The following is a 26,969-nucleotide window of genomic DNA, read 5'->3' on the forward strand; positions in this document are numbered from 1 at the left end:
TGAGATTCCATCCTAACGGCTAGTCACCATATGTCTGGGAGTACCATTCCAGATAACCTCTGTTGTACTTTTTAGAAATATTTTAAGTTTGTAAGCCAATAATGTGATGCCTCGGCAGGGCGTGGTGGCTCACGCCTGTAATCCCAGCACCTTGGGAGGCTGAGGCAGGTGGATCACTTGAGGTCAGGAGTTTGAGACCAGCCTGGCCAACATGGTGAAACCCCATCTCTACTAAAAATACAAAAATTAGCTGGGTGTGGTGGCAGGCGCCTGTAATCCCAGCTACTCGGGAGGCTGAGGAAGGAGAATTACTTGAACCCGGGAGGCAGAGGATGCAGTGAGCCGAGATCGTGCCACTGCACTCCAGCCTGGGTGACAGAGTGAGACTCCGCCTAAAACAACAACAAAAAAGAATGTGATGCCTCAGTATAGAGCATTTGGGAACCCGGTTAGGATGGAAGGCGAGGGCTGGGTAAAGTCTCTTTTGCTGACTGTGACAAGTGGCCGTTACAAATACTGGTGTATTGCAAAACTTCATGAGGATTGATTTACAGCATGTGCCGTCTTTGTAAATGGCTTTACATCCGGGTTGTGCTTTCATGTTCCAAGAAAACAACTTAATCTCTTAGTTAATGAAAAGTGGAAGGCCGGGCATGGTGGCAGGCGCCTGTAATCCCAGCTACTCAGGAGGCTGAGGCAGGAGAATTGCTTGAACCTGGGAGGCGGAGGTTGCAGTGAGCCGAGATCGCACCATTGCACTCCAGCCTGGGCAACAGAGTGAGACTCCATCTCAAAAAGAAAAAGAAAAGAAAAGTGAAGAGCCTGGGCACAACCTGGGCAACATAGTGAGACCCTGTCTCTACAAAAATACCAAAAAAAAAAAAATTAGCTGGGAATGGTGGTGTGTACCTGTAATCTCTGCTGTTTAGGAGGCTGAGGTGGGAGGATGGCTTGAGCCCAGGAATTTGAGGCTGCAGTGAGCTATGATCATGCCACTACACTGCAGCCTGGGTGACAGAGCAAGACCCTGTCAAAAAAAGAAAAGAGAAAGAGAGAAAGAAAAGTGGATAGAATTTTGATTCCAAAATTTCATTTTCAATCTCAAGCAAGCTTTCTTCCCTTCTTTATTCTGATTAAATGTGTTTTTTGATGACACCTCTCTAATTGTCTTTGAACTGGATGAAGAAATTGATCAAGACTAACGTCTCAGATTTTCTTATTATGTATTTTGTTAGCATGCTGTATCTTCACGTCCTGCAAATCTTTCACTTTGCATCTAAAAAAGAGAAAAGAAGCATGTGTATGCGCACACATGTGCACATACATTTATATATACACAACACAATCAGAAAAATAAATTTTTGTTCCTTCTCAGAATTATAGCGTTGATTCTTCTTCTTTTTTTGTGTGTGTGTGTGTGTGTGAGACGGAGTCTTGTTGTGTTGTGCAGGCTGGAGTACAGTGGTGCGATCTTGGCTCACTGCAACCTCTGCCTCCTGGGTTCAAGCGATTCTCCTGCCTCAGCCTCCTGAGTAGCTGGGGTTACAGGTGTCCGCCACTACGCCCAGCTAATTTTTGTGTTTTTAGTAGAGATGAAGTTTCACCATATTGGCCAGGCTGGTCTCGAACTCCTGACCTCAGGTGATCCACCCACCTCGGCCTACCAAAGTGCTGGGATTACAGGCGGGAGCCACCGCGCCTGGCCAGCATTGATTCTTAGGGTTCAAATGTATTCACATTTGAGAAAAAAAGGAGGAGGACATGACAAATGAGTATTACTAGTATAACAATTCTCCTTGGAAACATACCCAGCAGTGCTATCGTGCCCGTCTGAACATGCAAAAACGTCTGCTTTGGGGATGTCTGATTTAAGCACTTTAAGGCCTCAGCTGTCTCCTTCTGTGATTGACGTGTTCATCTCTCCCCTCCCTAGTTCCCTGGTGATGAGCAGTCGCCTCTTTATTTTTATTTGACCTTAAGCCAGTTGCACTGATTCCAAGAGAGGGAAAAGGGCCTGGCGTGGCTTCTCTGCCTTCAAGCTGGCCTGCTGAAATGATTGATAATTCCCAGGACTACTCTTCGAAGAGTAAGTCCTTTTCATTTGGCCTGATTTACCATGGCTTTCTCATACTTATTCTTGGTTTGGGAACTAGACAGCGCCCCATTATCTAGCTATGAAAGCAGGGATGTCACTAAAGGTGGCCTCTTATTACTGCTTAAAGGCCTATTAGAAATCTCATTTTGCTTTTTGGAGATGTCGTTGTGATGCATAGCGGTTCAGGGTTTCATTACTGGTGAAAGCCCTCTGTTTGGGCTCACCCGTTGTGTTCTGAGATTTGCAGTTCTGTTTTCCTGCTGCTGTTCCGAAACAGGAATACTGTTACTTTGAGGATTTCATGACATCGGTTGTGAAAAACATACTTAAAGCAGGAAAATTGCCGCTGAACAGAAAGGCGCTATCAAATCTCCCCTCCAACACAAGTGACAAACTCTACTCTGTTTAGCCTTCCTGACATAGGATTCCCTGCGGAGGTTCAGATAAATGAGTATCTGCCAAGTTATTACTGTAAAGTTCAACAAAGAGGGCGTTTTCTATGATTCTGCACCCTCCCTGCCCCCATTTTTTTTTTCTTCGAAGCAAATGATTGTGTTTTCTTCTCCTTAACACTCAGCAGCTGCTAGACCCTGACTTCGATGCTACTGACCTTGTGAGCTGGCCCCATCTTCTCTCTGGGCCACTGTTTCCTGGGCAGTTTGCATTCTCAGCTGGAAATGCTCAATGACCTTGAACACAGAGTCCCTTTACCCCTCTATGCCTCAGTTGTTTCAACTCTCAAGAAAGGGTAACAACTCATTCTTCATGTTGTGTGGATTTAACAAAATCACGTGTAGAAAATGCTTAACACACAGCTGGGCAGAGAGGCAACTACTCACTCCACAAGTATTTGTTGAGTGTGCCTACTATGTGCCAGACATTGTCCTAAGTGCTGGAGATACCAAGAGGAGCAAACACAGGACCAGTGTCTACTCTTGTGGAGCTTTCAGACCAGTACAAGATTTGAGCATTAATTAGATAATTACAAGGGCTTCTATCTCCAAACTGGGCCAAGGACCAGGAAGGAAAATTACACAGAAGCTTCCTGGGGCCCTGATGTAATCAAAGGACATTTTTCAATTACATTTTTTTCTTTTTGAGATGGAGTCTTGCTCTGTTGCCCAGGCTGGAGTGCAGTGGCACGATCTTGGCTCACTGCAACCTCTGCCTCACAGGTTCAAACAATTGTCCTGCCTCACCCTCCCAAGTAGCTGGGATTACAGGCACACACCACCACGGCTGGCTAAATTTTGTACTTTTAGTAGAGATGGGGTTTCACCATGTTGGCCAGGCTGGTCTCGAACCCCTGACCTCAGGTGATCCACCCGCCCCGGCCTTCCAAAGTGCTGGGATTACAGGCCCATGAGCCACGGCGCCCCGCCTCAATAACATTTGAATGGAGATCAGAAGCAGTAATAAGACAAACCAGGAAAAAGAGGTGTCAGGCCTTGCACCAGCCCCAAGGTGCATTTGAGCAAATTAGAAAAAGGTATCCTCACCTTAGGGCAGATGTGGTCACACACCCAGGAGCAGAGCATGTGCTGGGTTTTAGCACCCTTTGGCCGATCTGCTGGGTGCCCTTGAGCAGAGAACAACCAGGACCTCTGTACAGGGTGCCCCTGGCTAGGGGTATACTGGAGGCAGAGGAAAGCACCTTAGCAAAGGCCCTGAGGTGGGAGAAGCAGACACATTTGAGGAGCTGCCAAGTGCCAGTGAGGCAGGAGAATAGGGTCTGGAGGCAGGGAACCAAAGGCTGTCTCACACTGACATCCTAGAACTAAATTGAAAAGAAAACCCTAACTTTCCACGCCTAAGTAACAAAAGGACCAGAGGCTACTCCCTTTTCAAATCCCAAAATTTCCTGCACAGCTGATGGGAAATTGGCTGTCCACAACCAATCAGACTGATTGCGGGCCGAGTCTTTGTTTGCATAGAAGTCTTTGTTTGCATAACTTTATAACTTCACTTCAGCCTCTGGTTGGCTGCTTTCTACAACCAATCAGACTGATTGCTGGCTACCACTTACTTCATTTACATGAGGTGAGCATGAAGTGGCCAAAGGGAAACTTCTAGGGGGTATTTGGACCCAAGAAGATTCTGTATCCTGGCTCTTGAGCCGCTGCTTGGGTCCGCTCCCACACTGCAGAGTGTACTTTTGTCCTTTCGTTTTCAATAAATCCCTGCTTTTGTTCTTTTGTTGCTTCATTCTTTCTTTGCTTTGCTGGGCGTTTTGTACAATTCTTTGTTCAAAACGCCAAGAACCTGGACAACTTGCAGTCACGACCCTCTACCAGTGACACCCGCAGGGCCGGAGCATGAGGAGCAAGGCTGCTGGGAGGGGATCCAGAAAGTTCTCAGTAAATATCAGCCAGTGAGAATGCATTAGAGCATCATTCCCATGAATTCACTGCCAACACACCAAGGTCTCCTTAAAAACACCAAGGTCTCTCTAGAAGCTGTTGAATTTTAACTAGTGAAGGGAAATTACTTCAGGGATGTGATTTGTTGGTGTCACACAACTGAGATATAGAGAATCAGGACAGTGGATGAGGAGAGACATTTAATGTGGAAAACAGGGAGCCCGGGCGGGGCGGGTGGCTCATGCCTGTAATTCCAGTGCTTTGGGAGGCCGAGGTGGGAGGATTGCTTGAGGCCAAGAGTTGGAGACCACATAGCGAGACCCTGTCTCTACAGTTTTAAGAAAATTTACTTAAAAAATGTAAAAGAGGCTGTGCACGGTGGCTCATGCCTGTAATCCCAGCACTTTGGGAGGCAGAGGTGGGTGGATCACCAGAGGTCAGGAGTTTGAGACCAACCTGGCCAACACAGTGAAACCCCATCTCTACCAAAAAATACAAAAATTGGCCAGGCATTGTGGCGTGCTCCTGTAGTCCCACTACTCAGGAGGCTGAGACAGGAGGATCGCTTGAACCTGGGAGGCAGAGGTTGCAGTGAGCCGAGATTATGCCACTGTACTCTAGCCTGGGGGACAGAGTGAAACTTCATTGAAAGGAAGAAAGAAAGAGAGAAAGAGAGGAAGAAGGGAAAGAACGGAAAGAAAGGGGAAAAAAAGGAAGAAATGGAAGAATCACCTAGAAAAGAAAGAAAGAGAGAGAGAGAGAGAGAAGGGAGGGAGGGAGGGAGGGGGGATGGAGGGAAGGAAGGAAGGAAAGAAAGAAAGAAAAGGGGAGGGGAGGGGAAGGGAAGGGAAGAAAGGAAAGAAAAAGGAAGAAATGGAAGAATCCCCTTTACTTGGTCTCTTAGAAAGGACCTGTCCAGCCAGAAAATCAGAGCCTGGCAAAAGCACTGCACTCAACTGCTGATAACTTCTGTGTTCTTTGTGGCTTTGATTTCTTTGGTTCTGGAAGAATTCAAAAGAGCATTCATTCATTTAAACAAATAGACTATATCAAGCTTTTCTTTTTCTTTTTTTAAGTCAGAGTTTTTGGAAGGAAATGAAACCCTTGTATCCTGGAGAATCATGCACTGTTGCCAGTTAGCTTTGCAGTCTGTGGCAGGCCGGGCATCTGCATGTTTGCCCAGTTGAGGCTTGGTGTGTCAGCACTCCATGATAAGGGATGCTTGGGCTTTGGGATTGTATGGATCTGGGCCCAGATCCTCACTAGGCACCTACAAGCTGTGTGACCTTGGGCAGGTTAGTCAACCTGTCTGTGCCGTGAGTTACTGTAAGCTCTAGCTGTTATTTGGGAGAGTTTTGAGGCCAGGGCACTTGGGAGTCCCTTACTTGCAAAGTCATTTCTGGGGATGCTATACTGGGAGCAGCCTCCATGTGATCCACGTCCTTTGAGGGTTTCTTTCTTTTATATCTGAACAGTCTTGGCCTTTGCTTTTCAGACGTAGCTATGCTTTACTTTGGGGGAAACATAAAGAACCTGAATTAAGACAGATTTGTAAGACCTTGTCATCGGTTAGTGCCTCTGTTAAACTTTTAGTCTTGATTTTTTAATGTGGTATCTTTGATTTTTAAAAAAATCCCATGATATGAAAAATCCCACAAGAGCAGACACTATCAACTGATCCAGCACTTGAGATATTTTATTTCTTATTAAGAATTACTGTTTAAGTATTTTTTTCTAAGCAGAAACAATAATCCACAGCAGATTCATCTTTAAAAAAAAAAAAAAGAAGAAGAAGCAGTGAAACCAACCCAATCGTCCCATAGTTTTTGTTGTTGTTGTTGTTTTCAGATAAACATAGAAATTGACTTTTCTGGTCTTAAAGCTTAAAACTTAATTTATCTGAGTTCCTTCCTCAGGGAAGGACCCCCAGGCCTCTTAGAAAAAAAAAGGATCAAAGAACTGAAACTCATCAGATCACCACATCTAGACAATGAGATGCCAGAGCCCTCATTCATCATGATTGCTTCCTTGCTCCTCCCTAGTTCTTGTTTTCTTACACATTGTCACATTTCTTCCCTGCTGTATAAACCCCTAGTTTTTGTCTGTCTGGGAGGTGGATTTGAGACTGATCCCATCTCCTCCTGGCTGCAGCACTCGATTAAGATTAGAGCCTTCTTCCCTGGTAATACTCATCAGTTCAGTAATTGGCATTCTGTGTGGTGAGCAGCAAGACCTACACCAAACCCTTGATGTTTCTGTAACAACAGCAGAACTTAAAAATGTGCTTGAATTTAAACCACATTAACCTGGAATGCATACTAATCAGAGATAAATTCCAGTATTCCTTTCAGGAAAGAGAGGAACTGCAGTCCTTAATTTCAATGGAAAGTTGGAGAAAGAGCTCTTTATTATGTCTCAGTCATACTGCAGTACATAAAGGCGGCTGCTCCTCTGTCTCTTGCATTGTATCCAAATAGTCTCATGTCAGTAATATGTATGTTGCACCTTCAGGACTAAAATGCAAGAATAGCAGCCTGAGTCCTTCAAAAGAAGAATAGGCTAACAATGATTTAAGATTATGCTGTTTTTTTTAAAAAAATCCTTCCCAGAGTTTAAAATAATAAATGCTAACTCAAGCATACACTTTTCTATCTAAAATGACACTGTTGCCTGCTAAGAAAGGGGATGGATGAAGCACTTAATCAGAGAGGTCATTATGTTGTCAAAGGCAATGCCAAGGCTGAAGGACTGGATTCTCATGGGCATATAACCATTTTATTGCTTTTCAGCCCACGGCCGCCAATCCCACTCTCGCTCCTGCTGACAGAAGAGGAAGCAGCCCTCTACATTCAATCCTTCTGGAGAGCCTGTGTGGTAAGAATCATATGCGACTGTGGTATTTGATTTAATGGGGAACTTTTGTGAGGTGGAGGGTCCAGGGTAAACCTTAGATGAGTTAGGAACAGGATATTATAGCTAACATCCAGACCTCAGAAATACGATTCTCTGTAAAATGGGTCTTAAAAAGTGATTTAGAATTTTTACTGAAACTGGCTGGGCATAGTAGCTCATGGCTGTAATCCCAGAACTTTGCAGGGGCCAAGGTGGGAGGATCACTTGAGCCCAGGAGTTCAAGACCAGCCTGGGCAACATGACGAAACCTCGTATCTGCCAAAAAAAAAAAAGAAAAAAGAAAAAGAAAAAAAAATACAAAACTTAGCCCATGTGGCGCACATCTGTAGTCTAGCTGCTGTTGGGAGGCGGAGGTGGGAGGATGGCTTGAGCCCAGGACGCAGAGGTTGCAGTAAGTGGGGATTGTGCCACTGCACTCCAGCCTGGGAGACAGAGAGATACCCTGTCTCCAAAAAAAAAAAAAAAAAAAAAAAAACACAAAGACTTTTTACCAAAACTTATTTTGTAGTTATTAAAAGTACTGTCTTAACCTTTTAAAGTTGGGTTGACTGGCCTGTATTGATATATACAAAGAAAAAACTACATTGTCATTTTAGAAAAAAAAACTGGAAAATTCACGTAAGTCGAATAAAATAAATAAAAATTTTTGAGTCACTGATAACTCCGTCACCAAAAGATAATTATTGTTAACATTTTGGTATAAAACTACAAACTTTAAAAATCTGAATTCACATAGTGACGTATAAATACTTAACATAGAAAATAGCCTCTGCCTTTATAACTTGTCTTTTTTAACCATTTTTCTATTTGAGACTTTGAGGTTATTTACAGTATTTTTTATTGTTGTAATAAATGCTGCAGTAGACACCTTTGTGCAGTCATTTTTGCGCATTCGTCTGCTCATTTGTATAGGAGAATCCTAGAAGTGGAATTTCTAGATGAAAAGATAAGCTTTTTTTAAAGCTCCTGATCCTGGCTGTGCAAGATGACTCATGCCTGTAATCCCAGCACTTTGGAGGGACAAGGTAGGAGGATCTCTTGAGGCAGGAGTTAGAGACCAGCCTGGGCAACATAGTGAGACCCTGTCTCTACAAAAAAATACAAAAATGGGCCAGGTGCAGTGGTGGGCATCTGTAGTCCCAGCTAATTGGGAGGCTGAAGCAGGAGGATCACTTGAGCCAAAGAGGTCAAGGCTGCAGTGAGATATGATTGTGCCACTGTACTCCAACGTGGGTGACAACTGGGTGACAAAGCAAGACCCTGTCTCAAAAAAAAAAAAACTCCTGATAATATTGTCTTGTGGAAGAAGTTCTCACCAAATACATATGAGAGTAGCATGTGTATCTCATTCCAAAAAGTATACAACCTCTCCAATTATTTGGCAATTAGTGTATCAATGTTAACAAGCTTCCATGAAGCTCCCATTCTAGGTAGCAAGATGACTTTCCCTGAATCTGAGCATCAGATATCATGGAATGAGCTTACATTTAACATCAGCAGTGGCAAACACTGCCAGAGGGAAAGGTCCCAGTGGATTTCCATAGAGGCCAAAGCTCTTCATACTCTATACACAGCTGATGTAGGAAAAAGAGACTCTGAAAAACACACCAGCAAAAAGCTATCAGTTAAGAAGTTGGATTAATCCTAACAAGCTACAATTAATAACAAATATTTGCTACATGCCCATTAGTGGAACTGTCCCTGAACACAAGAGCTTACTGTATGAGTCAGTATTGTCCAGTTATTCCATTCCTTTTGTACATGGTACATTCCAGAAACCATGGGCTAAAGGGAAGTGTGAAAGTTAAGTAACATATTTGCACATTAAAGGAGAAGTCTGTGCCCAAAGAGTTAAAACAAACAAACAAACAAACAACAACAACAACAAAAAAACCACCCTGTTACAGAAACCCCTATTATTCCCCGTGATTTAGACATAGTTTTTTATAATGTAGGTTTTCAGTATTTCATACATATTTTATAAATGTGGTCTTTTTTCTTCATTGAACACCAGAAGGTTAGCTTACATCCAGGGATGTCTAACCAAAGCAAAATATTCCTGGCGTTCAGATACTACTTGAATTCCATCTTTGATTTGTGAGACTTATACTTGTTACACTAGAATCAGCAATTTTACTTTTCTATTTTTATGAAATGTTAAGAGCAGACTGTGAGTGGTGGCTCACACCTGTAATCCCAGCACTTTGGGAGGCCAAGGCAGGCAGATCTCTTGAGGTCAGGAGTTTGAAACCAGCCTGGCCAGCATGGTAAAACCCTATCTCTACTAAAAATACAAAAACTAGCTGGGCATGGTGGCATATGCCTGTAATCCCAGCTACTTAGGAGGCTGAGGCACGAGAATCGCTTGAACCCAGGAGGTGGAGGTTGCAGTCAGCTGAGATTGTGCCACTGCATTCCAGCCTTGGTGACAGAGTGAGACTCTGTCTCAATAAAGAAAAGGTAAGAGCAAAGTGCAATAAAATAGTCATTTTCAAGCCCGTCCTTGAAACAGGTGTGTGCTGTCAAACGAAATCATACCCAGAAGCCCAGTATGTAACCAGTATGTAACAGTAAAAGGGGAACTGTTTGTCCCTGATTCTCCCATGGTAAGATTCCACCCACCCTCATCCTTCCACACACAAGGAGCTTTGGGATTCGTTCTTAGTGATATGAATACAGCATAAAGCAGTCTGTAAGACAGCTGAATTCTACTTATCATACCAACAAACGCTGCCATATAAACAGATGTCAAAGTGGCTCGAAATTTAACTGTGGCTATAGCACCATCATCACACAATAGCTATAAATGTGTTTATAGCTAAAAAGATGTTTAGGGGGGTATCAGTGTATACTGTATGAAAGTTCAGGCTGTTCAAATCTAAACACCTCCCCTGCTAAAATCATAACCAGAGGGGGCTACAAAAGGGGGAACAATTTTGAGCCATCACTAGAAGGAAAAGATGCCTGATGTATGGATGACCTTAGAAGGCACCACAGAAAAGAGGGACTTCCTGAGTTTTAAAGAGGAGGTGGGCACTGGTATGTCAGCTGGGACCAAGAGGGTATTCTGGGGAGAGGAAACAGCATACATACATTGTCAAAAGAAAAACTTTAGACAAAATTAACAGAAGTTATTTGAGCAAAGAACAATTCATGAATTAGGCAGCACTCAGAACCAGGAGAGAGGTTCAGAGAGCTCTACCCAGCAACCTAGGCAGGCCTTATTTATAGACAGAAAGTGGAAATGACATCCAGAAACAGCTTGATTGGTTACAGCTTGGCATTGCCTAATATGGACGTGGTCTCATCAGTTGGCAGCCTGCAATTGACTGAAGCTTGTCTACTGTGATTGGCTGAGACTCAGCTACTTGTTACAAAAATGTACTCTCGTAGATTGCAGTTTATGATCCATGGAGGCAGGTTTAGGCCGCATTTAATTTAATACTATTATGCCATTTTTTGTTAAAGCATATTGTATATTTTGAATACATGCACACACACACGGATAGGAAATTAGCTAAAAGGAAACAGCAATCTGACAACAGTGAGTACCTTGGGGCAGCTGGGAAAGAACTAGGAAGACTCTAGCCTTATGTATACTGAACACCTTTTTTTTTTTTTTTTTTTGAGACGGAGTTTTGCTCTTGTTGCCCATGCTGGAGTGCGGTGGCGTGATCTCAGCTCACTGCAACCTCCACCTCCTGGGTTCAAGCGATTCTCCTGCCTCAGCCTACCGAGTAGGTGGGATTACAGGCGCCTGCCACCACACCCAGCTAATTTTTGTATTTTTAGTAGAGACGGAGGGGGGCGTTTCACCATGTTGGCCAAGCTGGTCTCGAACTCCTGACCTCAGGTGATCCACCTGCCTCGGCTTCCCAAAGTGCTGGGATTACAGGCGTGAGCCACTGCACCCGGCCACACTGAACACATTTTTTTACAAAGAGAATGTAGTATGATTTTGTTTAATTAAAAGTGAACTTAAACCAGAGATCATCTCAATGGATATAGAAAATGCATTTGTTAAAAATGTTTTCATGACAAAAACACTTAACAAACTGGGAATAGAAGGGGATTTCCTCAACCTGATAAAGTTATGAAAACCACAAAGATAACATCACATTTAATGGTGAAAGACTGGATATTTTCCTCCAAGATTAGGAACAAGAGGAGGATGTCCTCTCTTGCCACTTCAGTTTAACATAGTACTGGTAGTTCTAGCCAGGAAAAGTAGGCAAGAAAAAGAAATAAAAGCATTTGGATTGGAAACAAAAAAGTAAATATATTTCCAGTCATAGGTGACATGATCTTATATATAGAAAATTGTAAAGATTCACTAAAAACAACCTGTTAGAACTAATAAACAAGGTTGCAGGATACAAGATCAGTATACAAAATCAACTGAATTTCTATACACTTAGCAATGAACAATCTGAAAATGAAATTAAGAAAATAATTCCATTTGCAATGGCATCTAAAAGAATAAAATATTAGGAATAAATTTAACAGAAGTGCAAGGCTTGCATGCTGAAAACTACAAAACATTGAAAGATATTAAAGAAAACCTAATCAAATGGAAAGACATCCTGTGTTCATTGACTGGAAGACTTGATATTGTTAAGATAACAGTACTCCCCACATTGATCTACAGATTCAACACAATGCCTATCGAAATCTCAGTTGGGTTTTTTTTTTTTTTTTTTTTTTTTTTTTTTGTGAAATTAACAAGCCAGTCCTAAAATTCGTATGAAGATGCAAAGGGACCCAAAACAGCCAAAACAATCTTGAAAAAGAAGAACCAAGTTGGAGGACTCACCTTTCCCTATTTCAGAATTTACTGCAAAGTGCAATAATCAAAACTGAGTAGTACTAACATAAGGATAAATGTGTATATAAATGGAATAGAATTGAGAGTCCAGAAACAAACTCTTACATTTATGGTCAACTGACTTCCAACAAGGGTGCCAAGACCATTTAATGGGGGAAAGAATAGTCCTTTGAACAAATGATGCTGGAACAACTGGATATTCACATGCGAAAGAATGAAGTTAGACCCTTACTTCATATCTTATACAAAAAATTAACTCAAAATTAATTAAATATCTAAATGAAAGTGTGAAAACTATAAAAATATTAAAAGAAAGCATGGATGTAAATTTTCATGACCTTATATTAAGCAATAGTTTATATAACAAAAAGCAAAAGCAACAAAAGGAATAAAATAGATAACTTGGACTTCATCAAATTAAAAACACATTTTGTGCTTCAAAGAACATCATGAAGTGAGTGAAACAAGAACCTACAGAACGGGAAAAAATATTTGCAAGTTCAGGCATTCGATAAAGGTCCCGTATTTATAATATATAAAGAACTCTCACAACCCAACAGTAAAAGTACAAATGATCCAGTTAGAAAATTGGCGAAGGATTTGAGTAGACATCTCTCCAAAGAATATATACAAATGGCCAATAAACATGAAAAGATGCTCAACATCACTAGTCATAAGGAAATACAATCAAAACCACAATGAGATATCACTTCATATCCACTAGCATGGCTATAATCAAAAAGACAGTAACACAATAACAGGTGTTGGTGAAAATATAGAGAACTTGGAACCTCCATACACTGCTGATGAGAATGTAAAATGGTGCAGCCACTTTGGAAAAGAGTTTGGCAGTTCCTTAAAGAGTTAAACATAGAGTATCCACCTTATATCCAGCAGCTTCACTCTTAGGTATATATTTAAGATAACTAAAAAACATCTGTCCACACAAACACTTGTGCATGAATGTTCATAGAAGCATTATTCGTAGTAGCCAAAAAATGGAAACAGCTCAAATGCCCATCAACTGATGAAAGGAGAAAAAAAAAATGTGGTACGTTCATATATGAAAAGAAAATACTGTTACATGCTAAAAAACGGGTGAATCCTTAAAACATTATGCTAAGTAAAACGAGGCCGGGCACAATGGCTCATGCCTGTAATCCCAGGACTTTGGTAGGCCGACGTGGGCGGATCACCTGAGGTCAGGAGTTCAAGACCAGCCTGGCCAACATGGTGAAACCCCATCACTACTAAAAAAATGCAAAAATTAGCCGGGCATGGTGGTGGGCGCCTGTAATCCCAGCTACTCAGGAGGCTGAGGCAGGAGAATTGCTTAAACCCAGGAGGCGGAGGTTGCAGAGAGCCGAGATCGCGCCATTGCACTCCAGCCTGGGCGACAGAGCATGACTCCGACTCAAAAAAAAAAAAAACTAGAAAAACATGTTATGCTAAGTAAAAGGAGCTAGAGAGAAAAGTTCGCATTTTTACATGTAAATGATTCCGCTTAAATGAAATATCCAGAATAGAGAAATCTATAGATGAAACTAGATTAGTGGTTGTCAGGGGCTGGAGAAAGGGGAGAATCAGTGACTTCAAATGGCTACAGGGCTTCTTTTTGGAGTGATAAAATGTTCTGGACTTAGAGAGTGGTGACGGTTGAACAGGTTTGTGAATATAAGAAAACCACTGAATGGTAAACTTTAAACGGGTGAATTTTGTGTCATGTGAATTATATAAGAGAAAATGAACAAATATTATGGGGAAAAATATAAAGCAAGTCATCCTTTTATTCCTTTTGACCATGTGTTCTTTCGATACAAGTTCTTGATTTTTGACCTGGTTTTGGCAGTAAAAAGTAAACGTCCTATGACTAGCAGAAGGGACTTTCGGGAATTCACGAAATGAATCTCGAAGCTTCCTTACTCTGTCCTTACCCACTGCCATGTAGGTTTTACTAGATTTGCCAGCAACAAAAACTTTTACTTATATTCTCTCAAATGCCCTGAAGGAAAAATAGAGTCTTTCTACAAGTTTTTTGTTTTTTTTTTTTTGGTGTGTGTGTGTGTATAGCAAAATGTACCTAACAGAATTTACCGTCTTAATTTTTAGGTGTACATTTCAGTGGCATTAAGTACATTCACAACATAATGCAACCATGACCACCATCCATATCCTTTTTCCTCTTTCTCAACTGAAACTATGTACCCATTCAATAATAACTTCTCATTCTCCCTCCTCCTAGCCCCTGGCAATCACCATTGTATTCTCTGTCTATGAATTTGACGACTCTAAGTATGTTATATAAAGGAGGTCATATAGTGTTTGTCTTTTTGGGACTGGCCTATTTTATTGAGCCTAATGTCCTCAAGGTTGTTACATCCATGTTGTAGCATGTGTCAGAATATTCTTCCTTTTGAAGGCTGAATAATCTTCATGCCATGAAGTTTTAAAATCCAGAAATCTGACATCTTCACCCATCTAACACAAAACTAGCCAGACGTCTCATAAAAATATTAATATATTTTAACCAACCGCAGTAACAGAGATGTCATGTGATCTGAAAGGCTATTTGTAGTGAACCATTCTTGGTAGCTGTGATTTTGGAATTAGCATTCTAAATAGGTCCTGGATATTTATGACTACACATTAAGCACTTCTATAGAAGTGGACATTCTCTTCGTTCGTTCGTTTATTTATTTATTTATTTATTTAGACAGGGTTTTGCTCTGTCTTACAGGCTGGAGTGCAGTGGCGTGATCTCAGCTCGCTGCAACCTCTGCCTCCCGGGTTCAAGCTATTCTCCTGCCTCAGCCTCCTGAGTAGCCGGGATTACAGGTGCATACCACCACACCTGACTACTTTTTGTAGTTTTAGTAGAGACAGTGTCTCACCATGTTGGCCAAGCTGGTCTCAAACTCCTGGCCTCAAGTGATCCGCCCTTCTCAGCCTCCCAAAGTGCTGGGATTACAGGTGTGAGTCACTGCACCCGGCCTGTTTCTTCATTCAGAATTCGAGTCTAGTGGTTGAAAAGTCAGATTGTTTGGGTGGTCAAGGTGGTAGATCACCTGAGGTCAGGAGTTTGAGACCATTGAGATCAACCTGACCAATATGGTGAAACCCCATCTCTACTAAAAATACAAAAATTAGCTGGGCGTGGTAGCGGGCACCAGTAATCCCAGCTATTGGGAGGCTGAGGCAGGAGAATCGCTTGAACCTGGAAGGTGGAGGTTGCAGTGAGCCAAGATCGTGCCATTGCACTCTAGCCTGGGGGACAAAAGCGAGACTCTGTCTCAAACAAAGAAAGAAAAGTCAGATTGTTTCAATGTGCAAAAACTGAGTGTTAGTTTTTAATGTTGTGAATGAATTCTGGTCCTCTTCTGAAAACTCTCCTTTTCCAAGTGTGATTGGTGATAAGTCACGCACTTTTGCATCACTGGTGTTCTTTGGTTTATGAAATCTTGGATACAATTGGTAAGAAAAAAAACCTTGCTTTCTTGTGAGGTTCAAATATAAGGTTCTTATGGGCCATCATGATGGAAATTTCTTTAATGATTTTAGAAGTAGAGACCAGATAAATCCACTGAATATTTATTCCGTCTAAATAAGCGCCCGTGGTGTTTTATGCCTTCTACTCATTTGTTTTGTTTTATTCTAACTCAGCAGAGTCACCCAGGGTGGCATGCATTAGCAATCCTCCCCTCGTCCCAACATCAGCTCCCCTTCCAGGCATTGTGACAACTGAGAATTACGAAGTCCATCAATCATTACCCGTTATTTGATGAACAATACAGTGCCAGGTTGCTGCAGCAGCCCCTTTGAGGCCTTGCAAAAAAAAAAAAAAAACAAAAAAACCAATAAAATAAAATAACGGAGATTTCTGATCTCCACTTGCAGAGAACAATAAGAATCTGTGCATTGGGCGAACTAGGGTAAATGAGGGAACCCCCAAGGAGAAACAGCTTGGTATCAGCAGAGTACAAGGTTGAGGGTGGGACAGATCTCACCCTAGATGTGGAGGGGCTGTGGCAGCCTGGACACGTATTCCATCCTTCTGGCTATAGGACTTAGTTCATGATGGGCAGCAGACGGAAATCAGCCCAGTCAGACCTAGTGAGACTCCATTCTGGGATCCTCAGTGGAGTGGCTGGGACAGAGCAGCCCTCTTTGCACTGGGGTTACCGTGAGGCCAGACTGTCAGCACCATCTTAACACAGTGTGAAGAGCCTGTTGGAAAAATGACCACAGAGGCAAGCAGGGGTAAGAGGCAGAGAAAGGGGCTGGGTCCTGAAGTTGTCGTTTGAGGGCCTGCATTCAGCTATACCAATGAATCCCCTTAAAGATGGACTTCAGGGCGGGCACAGTGGCACACGCCTGTAATCCCAACACTTTGGGAGGCTGAGGCGGGTGGATCACTTCAGGTCAGGAGTTGGAGACCAGCCTGGCCAACATGGTGAAACCCTGTCTCTACTAAAAATACAAAAATTAGCTGGGCATGGTGGCGGGTGCCTGTAATCCCAGCTACTTGGGAGGCTGAGGCAGGAGAATCGCTTGAATCCAGGAGGAGGAAGTTTCAGTGAGCCGAGATCATGCCATTGCACTCCAGCCTGGCGACAGAGCCAGAGTCCATCACAAAAAATATATATATATATATATATATATTTCGGTCACTTACAGCCTAGAGTCCTGACAATAAAATTTTCAGTATGAAAATATGCAGACTTTTTATTACTGGCACACAAAGGAGGATATTGGCACAAAATGAAAATCTGGACCCAATGGTAGAGAGCAGCCATTTCAATTTGTCCCAGGAAAAGACTGTCCTATGTCAGCTTGAGGCTTGGCCATGGCTGGAGAGGAGAGCCTACCCCAACAAGCAAATTTGTCTAAAACGTATATATATTTTTTAATTGTGCAAGTAATGCATATCACTTGTGGAAAAAATAGATAATGCATATAAGTTTTGGGGTCTTTTTTTTTGACAGACAGTGTCTCACTTTGTCACCCAGGCTGGAGTGCAGTGGCGTGAACATGGCTCACTGTAGCCTCAATCTCCTGGGCTCAAGCAATCCTCCCACCCCAGCTTCCTGAGTAGCTGGGACTACAGGCATGTGCCACTATGCCCGGCTAATTAAAAAAAAAAAATTTGGAGAAGGGATCTCACTATGTTGGCCAGGCTGGTCTCAAACTCCTGGATATAAGGGATCCTCTCACCTTGGCCTCCCAAAGTGTAGGGATTATAGGCATGAGCCACCGTGCCCAGCAATGCATATAAGCTTTTTAAAAATATATACTATTCATCCTTCTAGAATTTTTTCTATTCATATGGAAATTTTTAAAACATTTTTTACAAAATTGCAATTATAAACACTTTTTTAAGCCTACTCTCTCTCCTTAATATATATTGGGAATATGTTTCATTATTGCCACACAAAGATGTACCTCACAAATTTTAATTCTTCTATGGTATATATATATATTTTTTTTATTTTTTAAATTTATTTTTGAGATGGAGTTTTGCTCTGTCACCCAGGCTGGAGTGCAGTGGTGTGATCTTGGCTCACTGCAACCTCCGCCTCTGGGTTCAAGCGATTCTCCTGCCTCAGCCTTCTGAGTAGCTGGGATTACAGGCGCCCACCACCACACCCATCTAATTTTTGTAGTTTTAGTAGAGACAGGGTTTCACCATGTTGGGCAGGCTGGTCTCGAACTCCTGACCTCAGGTGATCTGCCTGCCTTGGCCTCCCAAAGTGCTGGGATTATAGGCATGAGCCACCACACCTGGCCTATATTTTATTTTATATATATATATATACACACACACACACACACACACACACACACACACACACACACACCCAGTGAATACATTGAGTCATAACTTAATCATAGGTGGTTAGACATTCTTGTTTCCTCTCCTATATATTCAGTGAAAAACATTATTGTTCAAATTCACACACCTGTAGTCCCAGCTACTCAGGATGCTGAGTGGGAGGATCACTTAAGCCCTGGGAGGTCGAGACTGCAGTGAGCTCTGATAATGCCATTGCACTGCAGCCTGAGTGACAGAGAAAGACCCTGTCTCTCAAATAAAACAGAGCAAAATAAAAAACAAAAACAGAAAACCAAAAACCCAAAAGCATCCTCGTTCATATGTCTGCACACCTGTCCGATTTTTCTCCAGATTAATTGCTGGCATTGGAATTGATAGCTCAAAGAGTAAGCACCGTTTCTCAAGAGTTCAGATCATTATTGATAAATTACCCTCTAGAGAGGCTGGAGTTCAACCCCTAGACCAATCTATATGCACACCAGCAATGTATGCAAGTGTACTTTAGCCATAGGTTTTGATGGGAAAGTAGAGAGAGGAAGGAAGGGATTGGGAGCGTGATGCATGTCTCGGGAGGGTGGAGTTGTGAGGACACCATGCTAGAGGGTATGAGAAGGGAGGACCAGTTTGTTCAGTTGTGTGGGCTGTGCGCTGCACAACTCGGGGATACCATTCAAAACCATATGTATTAGACATCTGAGGCTTGGAGAAGCTTGGGAAATAGTAGTTGAGTGGCCACTTGCTACATATTTTTAAATTCCGCTGGCCTACCCAGCTCCTAGCCTATGGTTTTTAAAACCCCTCTGCTAGCTGGAGGCTGGATGAGTCAATGGAGCGTGTATCGGTGATACCGTATAGAAGCACTACTGTCTTGATCAAGAATTTGCATTTTCTTCCTGAAATTATGCAGCATCTTAAACATGAATATTCAATAATATTTAATATTCAATAATAATAATTATAAAATAAATATTGGGAATTTAATCCATAGAGTATTATTTAAACACTAAAAATAATCAACATCAGTCATGGTAACAAGATGGAAATTGCCCATAGTATTACTAAGTGAAAAATGAATAAAATGCCACGTGCAGATTATTTTATGATTATGTAAAAAATAACTTTATATAGAAAATAGGCTACAAAGACATATGTAAAATATTGTGATTGTTCAGTGGCAGGATAAGGAGTGATGTTTTTATTCTCTCTGTTTTATATTTTTAAAATTATTTACAAAGAACATATATGGCTTTTACAAAGTAATAAAAACTTTACTTAGAAACCTATATTCCACCATGATAATGTTTTTTACTCTTTTCTTCTTTAGTTAAAATTTGACATACTTAGACTATTTTTTCTGAGCCTTTTTAGGAGTGTGTGTTTGTGTGTGTGTGTAAATATGCAAAAAAAATTTGAAACACTAGTATTTGGAAAGTGTTCTTTGTTTTATTTTAATCTGATTGTTAGTGTACTCTGTTCATTCTGAAATTCCAAAATCATCTTGTTTTGTATTTCATAGTCTTTCTAATAGTGTTTTTGGTTTTGGGTTTGGGCTGTGTGTGTGTGTGTCTATGTACACAATAAGTGCTTATGGTTAAATAATATTTTCACTAGCAGAGAAGTTTGAGGATTTTTGCCTATAGACCTCCTATTACAAGTCTTCACAGTCTTTCTCTCTCTCTCTCTCTCTTTTTTTTTTTTTTTTATGAGACAGGATCTCTGTCTCTGTCACTCAGGCTGGAGTGCAGTGGCGCAGTCACAGCTCACTGCAGCCTCCGCCTGCTGGGCTCAAGTGATCCTCCCACCTCAGCTTCCTGAGTAGCTGGGATGACAGGCACACTCCACCATGCCTGGCTAATTTTTGTATTTTTTGTAGAGATGGGGTTTCATCATGTTGCCCAGGCTGGTCTTGATCTCCTGGGCCCAAGTGATCCTCCCTTCTTGTCCTCCCAATGTGCTGGGATTCCAGACATGAGCCACTGCACCCAGCCTCTTCACAGTCTTAACTGACAAGGAATCATAGACCGCAAGTCATTTGGAGAACAGTTTGGCCTCACAGAGAAAGCCTTCCACGCTACACGTGTTATACTTCACTGGAGAATATGCACTGAATCAGCGGACAGTCTAAAAGGCAGGGCATTCAGAAGACTCAGTTAAAAGTGGTGGGTGTTCAGGTGTGTTTTGATTTGATTTAACTTTATTTTTTATTCTGAAAAACCACTCCTTTCTATTTAGAGAAGATCTGGCCTACATAGTTAGATAGAAAATAGATGATGAAAACAGCTCAGGATAAAAACCAAACACGTATGGAAAGGACCTTTAAACAATACAAATAAAAGGTTTTGTAGTTCCTCCCATATTTTTCTACAAAAAGCGGAAATTACAACTTAAGGCTCAGCACTGAGAGGGAGAGAGGTTTCTCCAAGTCGGGCAGCTGGCTGGGCTATTAAGCACGACAGGTTTTATTTTTTCTGAAAGGTCACTTGAAGTTCTCATTACTGGCCTTAACTTTCTTGTCTTCAATGTTGTGGCTGAAGACAAAGACTTATTTTTTTTTTCCAGGTAAAACATGCCCTATGGCAATTTGTTAATAATGTGGGCTCTAGCAGCAGACAGACCTGTTTGAATCCCAACGTGTCAGGTTATTAACCCATTTATGCCTGAGATTGTAATTTTTTGAATTTTTGCAACCAGACTTTGGTGACGACTTTGAGCAGTAGGATATAAATAACTCCCACGTGCTTAGCGTTCCAATAATGGAACACTAGGCATAAATGGGTTTTAATAACCATGGGCAGATTATGTAACTTCTGAGCCACAGTTTTCTGTTTGTAAAATGGGAGTAATAATTCCTGCCTATGAAGATCGAATCAGATGCTTCAGTCCACATAAGGAACATGGCACAGTGCCAAGGACATAGTAAATCCACAAGAAATATTGGCTGTTGTTGTTATTGTTGTTGCAGCTGTTGGCTCTATTTTCCTGAATAGGGGTTCTTTTTAAAAAGCCAACTAATGCCCTCCTTTAAGTTCTTCAAAGGCACAAAGCAGGCTCCCATCTCACCTTGGAAATCACTGATTTGTTTTCTGCTCCTATACTTTTGCCTTTTCCAGCATGTTACATAAATGGAGTCATACATCATGTAGCCTTCGAGTCTGGCTTCCTTCACTTGGCTCCATGCGTTTGCTGTTGTCCCACGTGTTTGGGTGTGTGCGTAGTCCCTTCCTTTTTATTGCTGAACAGTATTCCACTGTAGAACCCAGCAAGAGGAGAAACATGAAGGAAGGGGTTCTTAACTCTGCTGAGGAATAAACACATACGACTTTTACGTAAGACTCGTTTATTTGAACCTATGGATTGTGATGGTCTCGAGCTTCACTGTTCATCAAAGCCATCCACTGACAGATTTTGTTTTTAATTTCTGATACCTGGGGTCTTATTCCCCTGAGATTCTTGTTCAACTGGTCACAGTGAGAACAAGAGATAGGTTTGCTATTGTTGGCTTTTTTGTTTTGTTTTGTTTTGTTTGTTTGTTTTTTTGTTTTTTGAGACAGAGTCTCACTCTGTCACCCAGGCTGGAGTGCAGTGGAATGATTTCAGCTCACTGCAACCTCCACCTCCCAGGTTCAAGCAATTCTCCTGCCTCAGCCTCCGGAGTAGCTGGGATTACAGGCGCACGCCACTGCACCCGGCTAATTTTTGCATTTTTAGTAAAGACAGGGTCTCACCATGTTGGCCAAGCTGGTCTCAAACTCCTGCCCTCAAGTGATACGCCCACCTCAGCCTCCCGAGGTGCTGGAATTGCAGGTGTGAGCCACAGCATCCAGCCAGAGATGGGTATTGTTTAATAGCTCCCAGGTGACTCTAACATGCAGCCAGGATTGAGACCCACTGATGTATTGGAATTGACTTTGCTACCTACCAGTTTTATGATTCAGGAGAAATCACTGAATGATAAATCACAACTTTTTTTCTTTTTAGATGAAGAATAATAATAGCTGCCCAGTCTAGCTCACCAAGTTATCATGGAATTAAAATGTTTTATTTTTTATTTTCAGAGACAAGGTCTTAGTTTGCTGTACAGGCTGAAGTGCAGTGGTGCAATCATAGCTCACTACGGACTTGAACTCATGAGTTCAAACGATTCTCCCAGTTCAGCCTCCCAAGTAGATAGGGCTACAGTTGTACACCACCACAAACAGCTAATTTTTTTTGTAGAGATGGGGGTCTCACTATGTTGCCCAAGCTAGTCTCGAACTCCTGGCCTTAAGTGATTCTCTCACCTTGGCCCCCCAAAGTGCTGGGATGACAAATGTGGGCCACCGTGCCCAGTCTCTAAATGTAACAACACAGGAGATAGTGTTCTGTAAACTGTAGATGCAGAAATGAATGGTGTCAGTATGGAGGTGATTATATATCAGTGACTTTCCTATTTGAAAAGTACTGGAGGTTCTTTGCCAGGTGCGGCGGCTCACGCCTGTAATCCCAGCACTTTGGGAAGCCGAGGCAGGTGGATCACGAGATCAGGAGTTCCAGACCAGCTTGGCCAATATGGTGAAACCCTGTCTCTACTAAAAATACAAAAAAAAAATTAGCTGGGCATGGTAGTGGATGCCTGTACTTGGGAGGCTGAGGCAGGAGAATCACTTGAACCTGGGAGACAGAGGTTGCAGTGAGTTGAGATCACACCACTGCACTCCAGCCTGGGTGACAGAGGGAGACTTCATCTCAAAAAAAAAATAAAATAAAAAAGTACTTGAGGTTCTATTTCCTAAACAGAGGTAAAAGGTTTGTTGTGTGTATGTGTGTGTGTGGTGGTTTTTTTTGTTGTTGTTGTATTTTGAGACAGGGTCTCACTTTGTCACCTAGGCTGGAGTGCAGTGGTGCAATCTCACCCTACTGCAACCTCCACCTCCCAGGCTCAAACAGCCCTCCCAGTTCAGCCTCCCAAGTAGCTGGGACCACAGCTGTGAGCTACTACACCAGCTGATTTTTGTATTTTTTTAGAGACGAGTCTTGCCATGTTGCCTGGTCTGAAACTCCTGAGCTCAAGCGATCCACTCCCTCCGCCTCCCAAAGTGTTGGGATTACAGGTGTGAGCCACTGCACCTGGCCAGTATTTGTATTTAAAGAAAAACACAATACCAGTGTGGCTGATGGGCTGGCATTTAGCCAAACATTTCTCATTCACAATACTTTCAACCCAGGGTGAGCCCTGAGATGGCAGGACCAAAGAAACCTTTAGGAGTTGGTCTTGATTTGTATTATATTTCATCGTAAAGTTCCAACAATCGTTGTTTAAGCGCCAGATTCTTTTTTCCTTCTGCTTTCTCTTGAGTATGTGGCTTCCCCACATTGTTGGTCTGCTTTCCCCAGCTTCCTCTTCCTCCTTTCCAGAGAGGGGCGTCTCCTGCTGCAGCTGTTCCAGGAAGGGGGGTGGGGGTGCATTTCCTCCCTTTGTGTGAGCTCATTAGCCCTGTCTCTGGCTTTCCTCCGGGGACAGCCAGCCAACCAGGTGAGCCAGTGTCATTTAAAGGAGCACTTCCGTTCTCAGGCAGGGGTTGGTTGTCGTTTCTGGCTGACTTCAGATATGGCCCAGGTGAAGAGAGATGGCATCTGGCACAGAGAATGGCCAGCAGCTTGGTGTATGAGTCACATTTTCCTGGTAAATAGTATGCTGCCTAGATCTCCTGTGCAAGACAATTATTTTTTGATCCTTTGCAATTTGGGGTCTGATTTGAAGGCAATATAGCATCATAGTTAAGCAAGCAGGTGCTACAATGAGATGGATTCATTTGCTAATATTCACTCACTAGTAATTATTGAGTGCTTACAATGTGGCAGGCAGGCATTGTTCTGGATGCTAGGCAACCTGCAGGGAAGGAGACAAAGTCCCTGCCCTCATGGAGCTTGCATTCTTTCAGGAGACTGTAAACAGATACAAATAAATGCATAGTAACATAATGTCAAAGAGTGTGTCAGTTAGCTATTGTCACAATAATGCTGCATAACAAATCACCCCCAAACTCCAAAACTCAGCAGCTCACAATATACATTTACATCTTATAACCACACCATGGGTTCTTCCTGTGTGCTGTACAAACAAAAGCAATTCATAGAAACCAGGCATTGCAGTAAAGAAAGAGTTTAATTGACACGAGGCCAGCCATGCCACATGGGAGACAGAGTTATTACTCAAATCAATATCCCCAAAGGCTCGGAGGCTAGAGGTTTTTCAAAGATAGTTTGGTGGGGTGGGGGGGCTAGGGAATGGGTGCTGCTGATTGGTTGGGGATGAACTCATAGGGGTGTGGAAAGCAGTCCTCATGTGCTGAGTCTACTTCTGGGTGGGGAGCCACAGGACTGGTTGAGTCACAGCACAGGTCTGGGTGAGGCCATCCGGTAGTCAGAAATGCAAAAGCCTGAAAAGACATCTCGGCTACTATTTTAGATGGTGAATTTGGTCAAGGAAGGCCTCTCTGAGAAGGTGTTATTTGATCTGAGACCTGAATGAAGTTCATTCTAGGCAGAAGGAAAAGCACATGCAAAGGCCTGCAGGAGCAGGAGGGTGCTGGATGTATTGAGGACCAGCAAGAGAGTCAGTGTGTAAGTGAGCTGGAGCTGGGCATGGTGGTAGAGGCTAATGGAGGCTAAAGTGAGGGGATGGCTTGAGCCCAGGAGGTTGAGGCTACAGTGAGCTATGATTGCACCACTATACTCCAGCCTGGGTGACAGAGCGAGACTCTCTGTCTAAAAAATACATTATATATATATTAGAAAATAAAAGTGAGGCCAGGCTCAGTGGCTCACACCTGTAATTTCAGCACTTTGGGAGGCTGAGGCGGGCAAATCACTTGAGTACAGGAGTTTGAGACTAGCCTGGGCAACATGGTGAAATGAACTCACTACAAAAAATACAAAAAAAAAATAGCTGAGTGTGGTGGCACACACCTGTAGTCCTAGCTACTTGGGAACCCGAGGTGGAGGATGGCTTGAGCCCGGGAGGCAGAGCTTGCAGTGAGCTGAGATCATGCCACTGCATTCCAGCCTGGGTGACAGAGCAAGACCCTGTCTCAAACCACTCCCCACCCCCCCACCCCCCAAAAAAAGAAAAAATAAAGCAGTGAGCTAGAGGTGAATGGGAGAGGAGATGAGGAAGCAGTCAGGGGACAGATCTTGTAGAATCAAAGGTGAGCTTTCATTTGGATGCTGGAACTTTGGATTTTATTCTGACTGATAAGAAATGATGGGCAGAAGAATGACATGATCTGAGTTTTCATCAGGAAACTGTAGTCAGCATCCACAGTGACTCCCCAATAACCCCCACCCCCTGGGATTCCCATTACTGGGGAGTCTCTTCCCACATTGTATCAGGGTTAATATGTGTGGCAGTAGAATATGGCAGAAATAATGGTGTGCCACATCCAAGATTAGGTTATTAAAGACACAGCAGTCTTGTGCTCACTTGTTCTCTCCCTCTGGGATCATTCCCTCTGGAGGATGCCAGCTGGTCTTGATCATCCCTATGGGGGCACCTACATGGCAAGAAACTGAGGCCTCTAGCCAACAGCCATGGGAGGGAGCCATTGTGGAAGTGGATCCTCCAGCCCAGTCAAGCCTTCAGATGATTGCAGGCCCAGCTGACATCCTAACTGCAGCCTCAACCCTAAGCCAGAATGCCCCAGCTAAGCTGCTCCTATGTTCCTAATCTTCAGAAATTGTGTTGTTTCTTAAACCTGCCACGCCTGGGGGATGTTTGTTATGCAGCAATGGAGACCAATACAATAACTCAGGCTGCTGCAGAGAGAACAGATTGTAAGAGGATAAAAGTAGAAGCAGGAAAACTTGTAATATTTGTTTGCATCCTTGCTACTCAAATTATGGTCCAAGAACCAGTGCTATTATCATCATCAACTGGCATCTGGTTGGCATGCAGAATCTCAGGCCCCATCCAGACCTCCTGAATCAAAATCTGCATCTTTACATGGTTCCCAGGAGAGTCTTTGCATGCTGAAGTTTGAGAAGCAGCCCTATGGGTGACAGCCTAGTAGGGTGCCATGATCTGGGTTTTAATCCTGGCTTGCCAACAATGTGACCTTCAGTACATCACTTAATTTTCCTAAGCCTCAGTTTCCTTTCTTGTAAAATGGGGATAATAATATTGCTGCTGTCACAGGGTCATATGTGAGGGCATAAATGAAATGGTGCAGGTTGCACAGTGCTTGGCACATGGTTAAGGGCTCATAAGTATTAGCTCTGTATTGGCTGGGTCTGATCCATGCATTTTCTCCCTAAGAATATATTCCTGATCATTTCCTGATGATGTTCCTTAAATGAGTATTTTTTTTAATTCCCTGTCAAAGAAAATCCTGTTTTGTTTTTTTTAAAAAAACATCCTTGAGCTCATCAAGAAAACTTTTGTCTGTGCCCAGCATGATTCCAGCCATACCCCAGAATGAAGGCGCCTGGTTTCCATGGTCTGTTTCTAGGCCCAGTTCTCAGGGCAATTTTCAGGGCCACCCGGCAGGCCAAAATAGGCCACAGCACTATAAATAGTGGATTTGGGCTGCTTCGGGCCTGACTTCTCAGGTCAGGCCCTTCCCTTCCCCCTGCCTGCTCCTGTAGTTGTTTAAACATACTCTGGGTTAGAGCTGCAAGTGTATTTTCCTTAATATGCCCAGAAAATGTCTTGCCAACTTGCCAGGCTATCAGCAAAACTCCCTTTTTATTTGCTCAGTCACAATGTACCCCCAGTATGTGACGAAAACTGATAAACCACACTCCAGGTTTCACTCAGTGGTTCACACAGGGTTCACTGCAGTGAACTGGCTCCAGGGCTCAGGGATTTGAGAAGCCTGAGTGCCACCCTGCCTCTCTTGCCATGTGACCTTGTATGAGTATTTCACTTCTCAGAGCCTCATTTTCCTTATCTGTACGTGAGGCTGATAA

At 42.7% G+C, this 26,969-nt stretch overlaps 1 protein-coding gene across 8 annotated transcripts in view; it reads left to right on the plus strand.

Moving 5' to 3' along the window:
- Positions 1–26,969, plus strand: part of IQCK (IQ motif containing K) — a 140,197-nt gene that overhangs the window by 63,323 nt on the left and 49,905 nt on the right. For 7 of the 8 annotated variants that reach the window (NR_130967.3, NR_130968.3, NM_001394805.1 and 4 more), the window contains one exon: positions 7,245–7,329. The exons of the other annotated variant lie outside the window; for it this stretch is intronic. Coding sequence is in view for 5 of the 7 variants with exons in the window: in NM_001394805.1 (NP_001381734.1) it covers positions 7,245–7,329 (85 nt within the window). In the remaining 2 variants the exon portion in view is untranslated. The remainder of the gene's footprint in view (positions 1–7,244; positions 7,330–26,969) is intronic. 8 annotated transcript variants of the gene reach the window in all.

The sequence above is a fragment of the Homo sapiens genome, chromosome 16 (assembly GCF_000001405.40).
Source record: "Homo sapiens chromosome 16, GRCh38.p14 Primary Assembly".
NCBI lineage: Eukaryota > Metazoa > Chordata > Mammalia > Primates > Hominidae > Homo > Homo sapiens.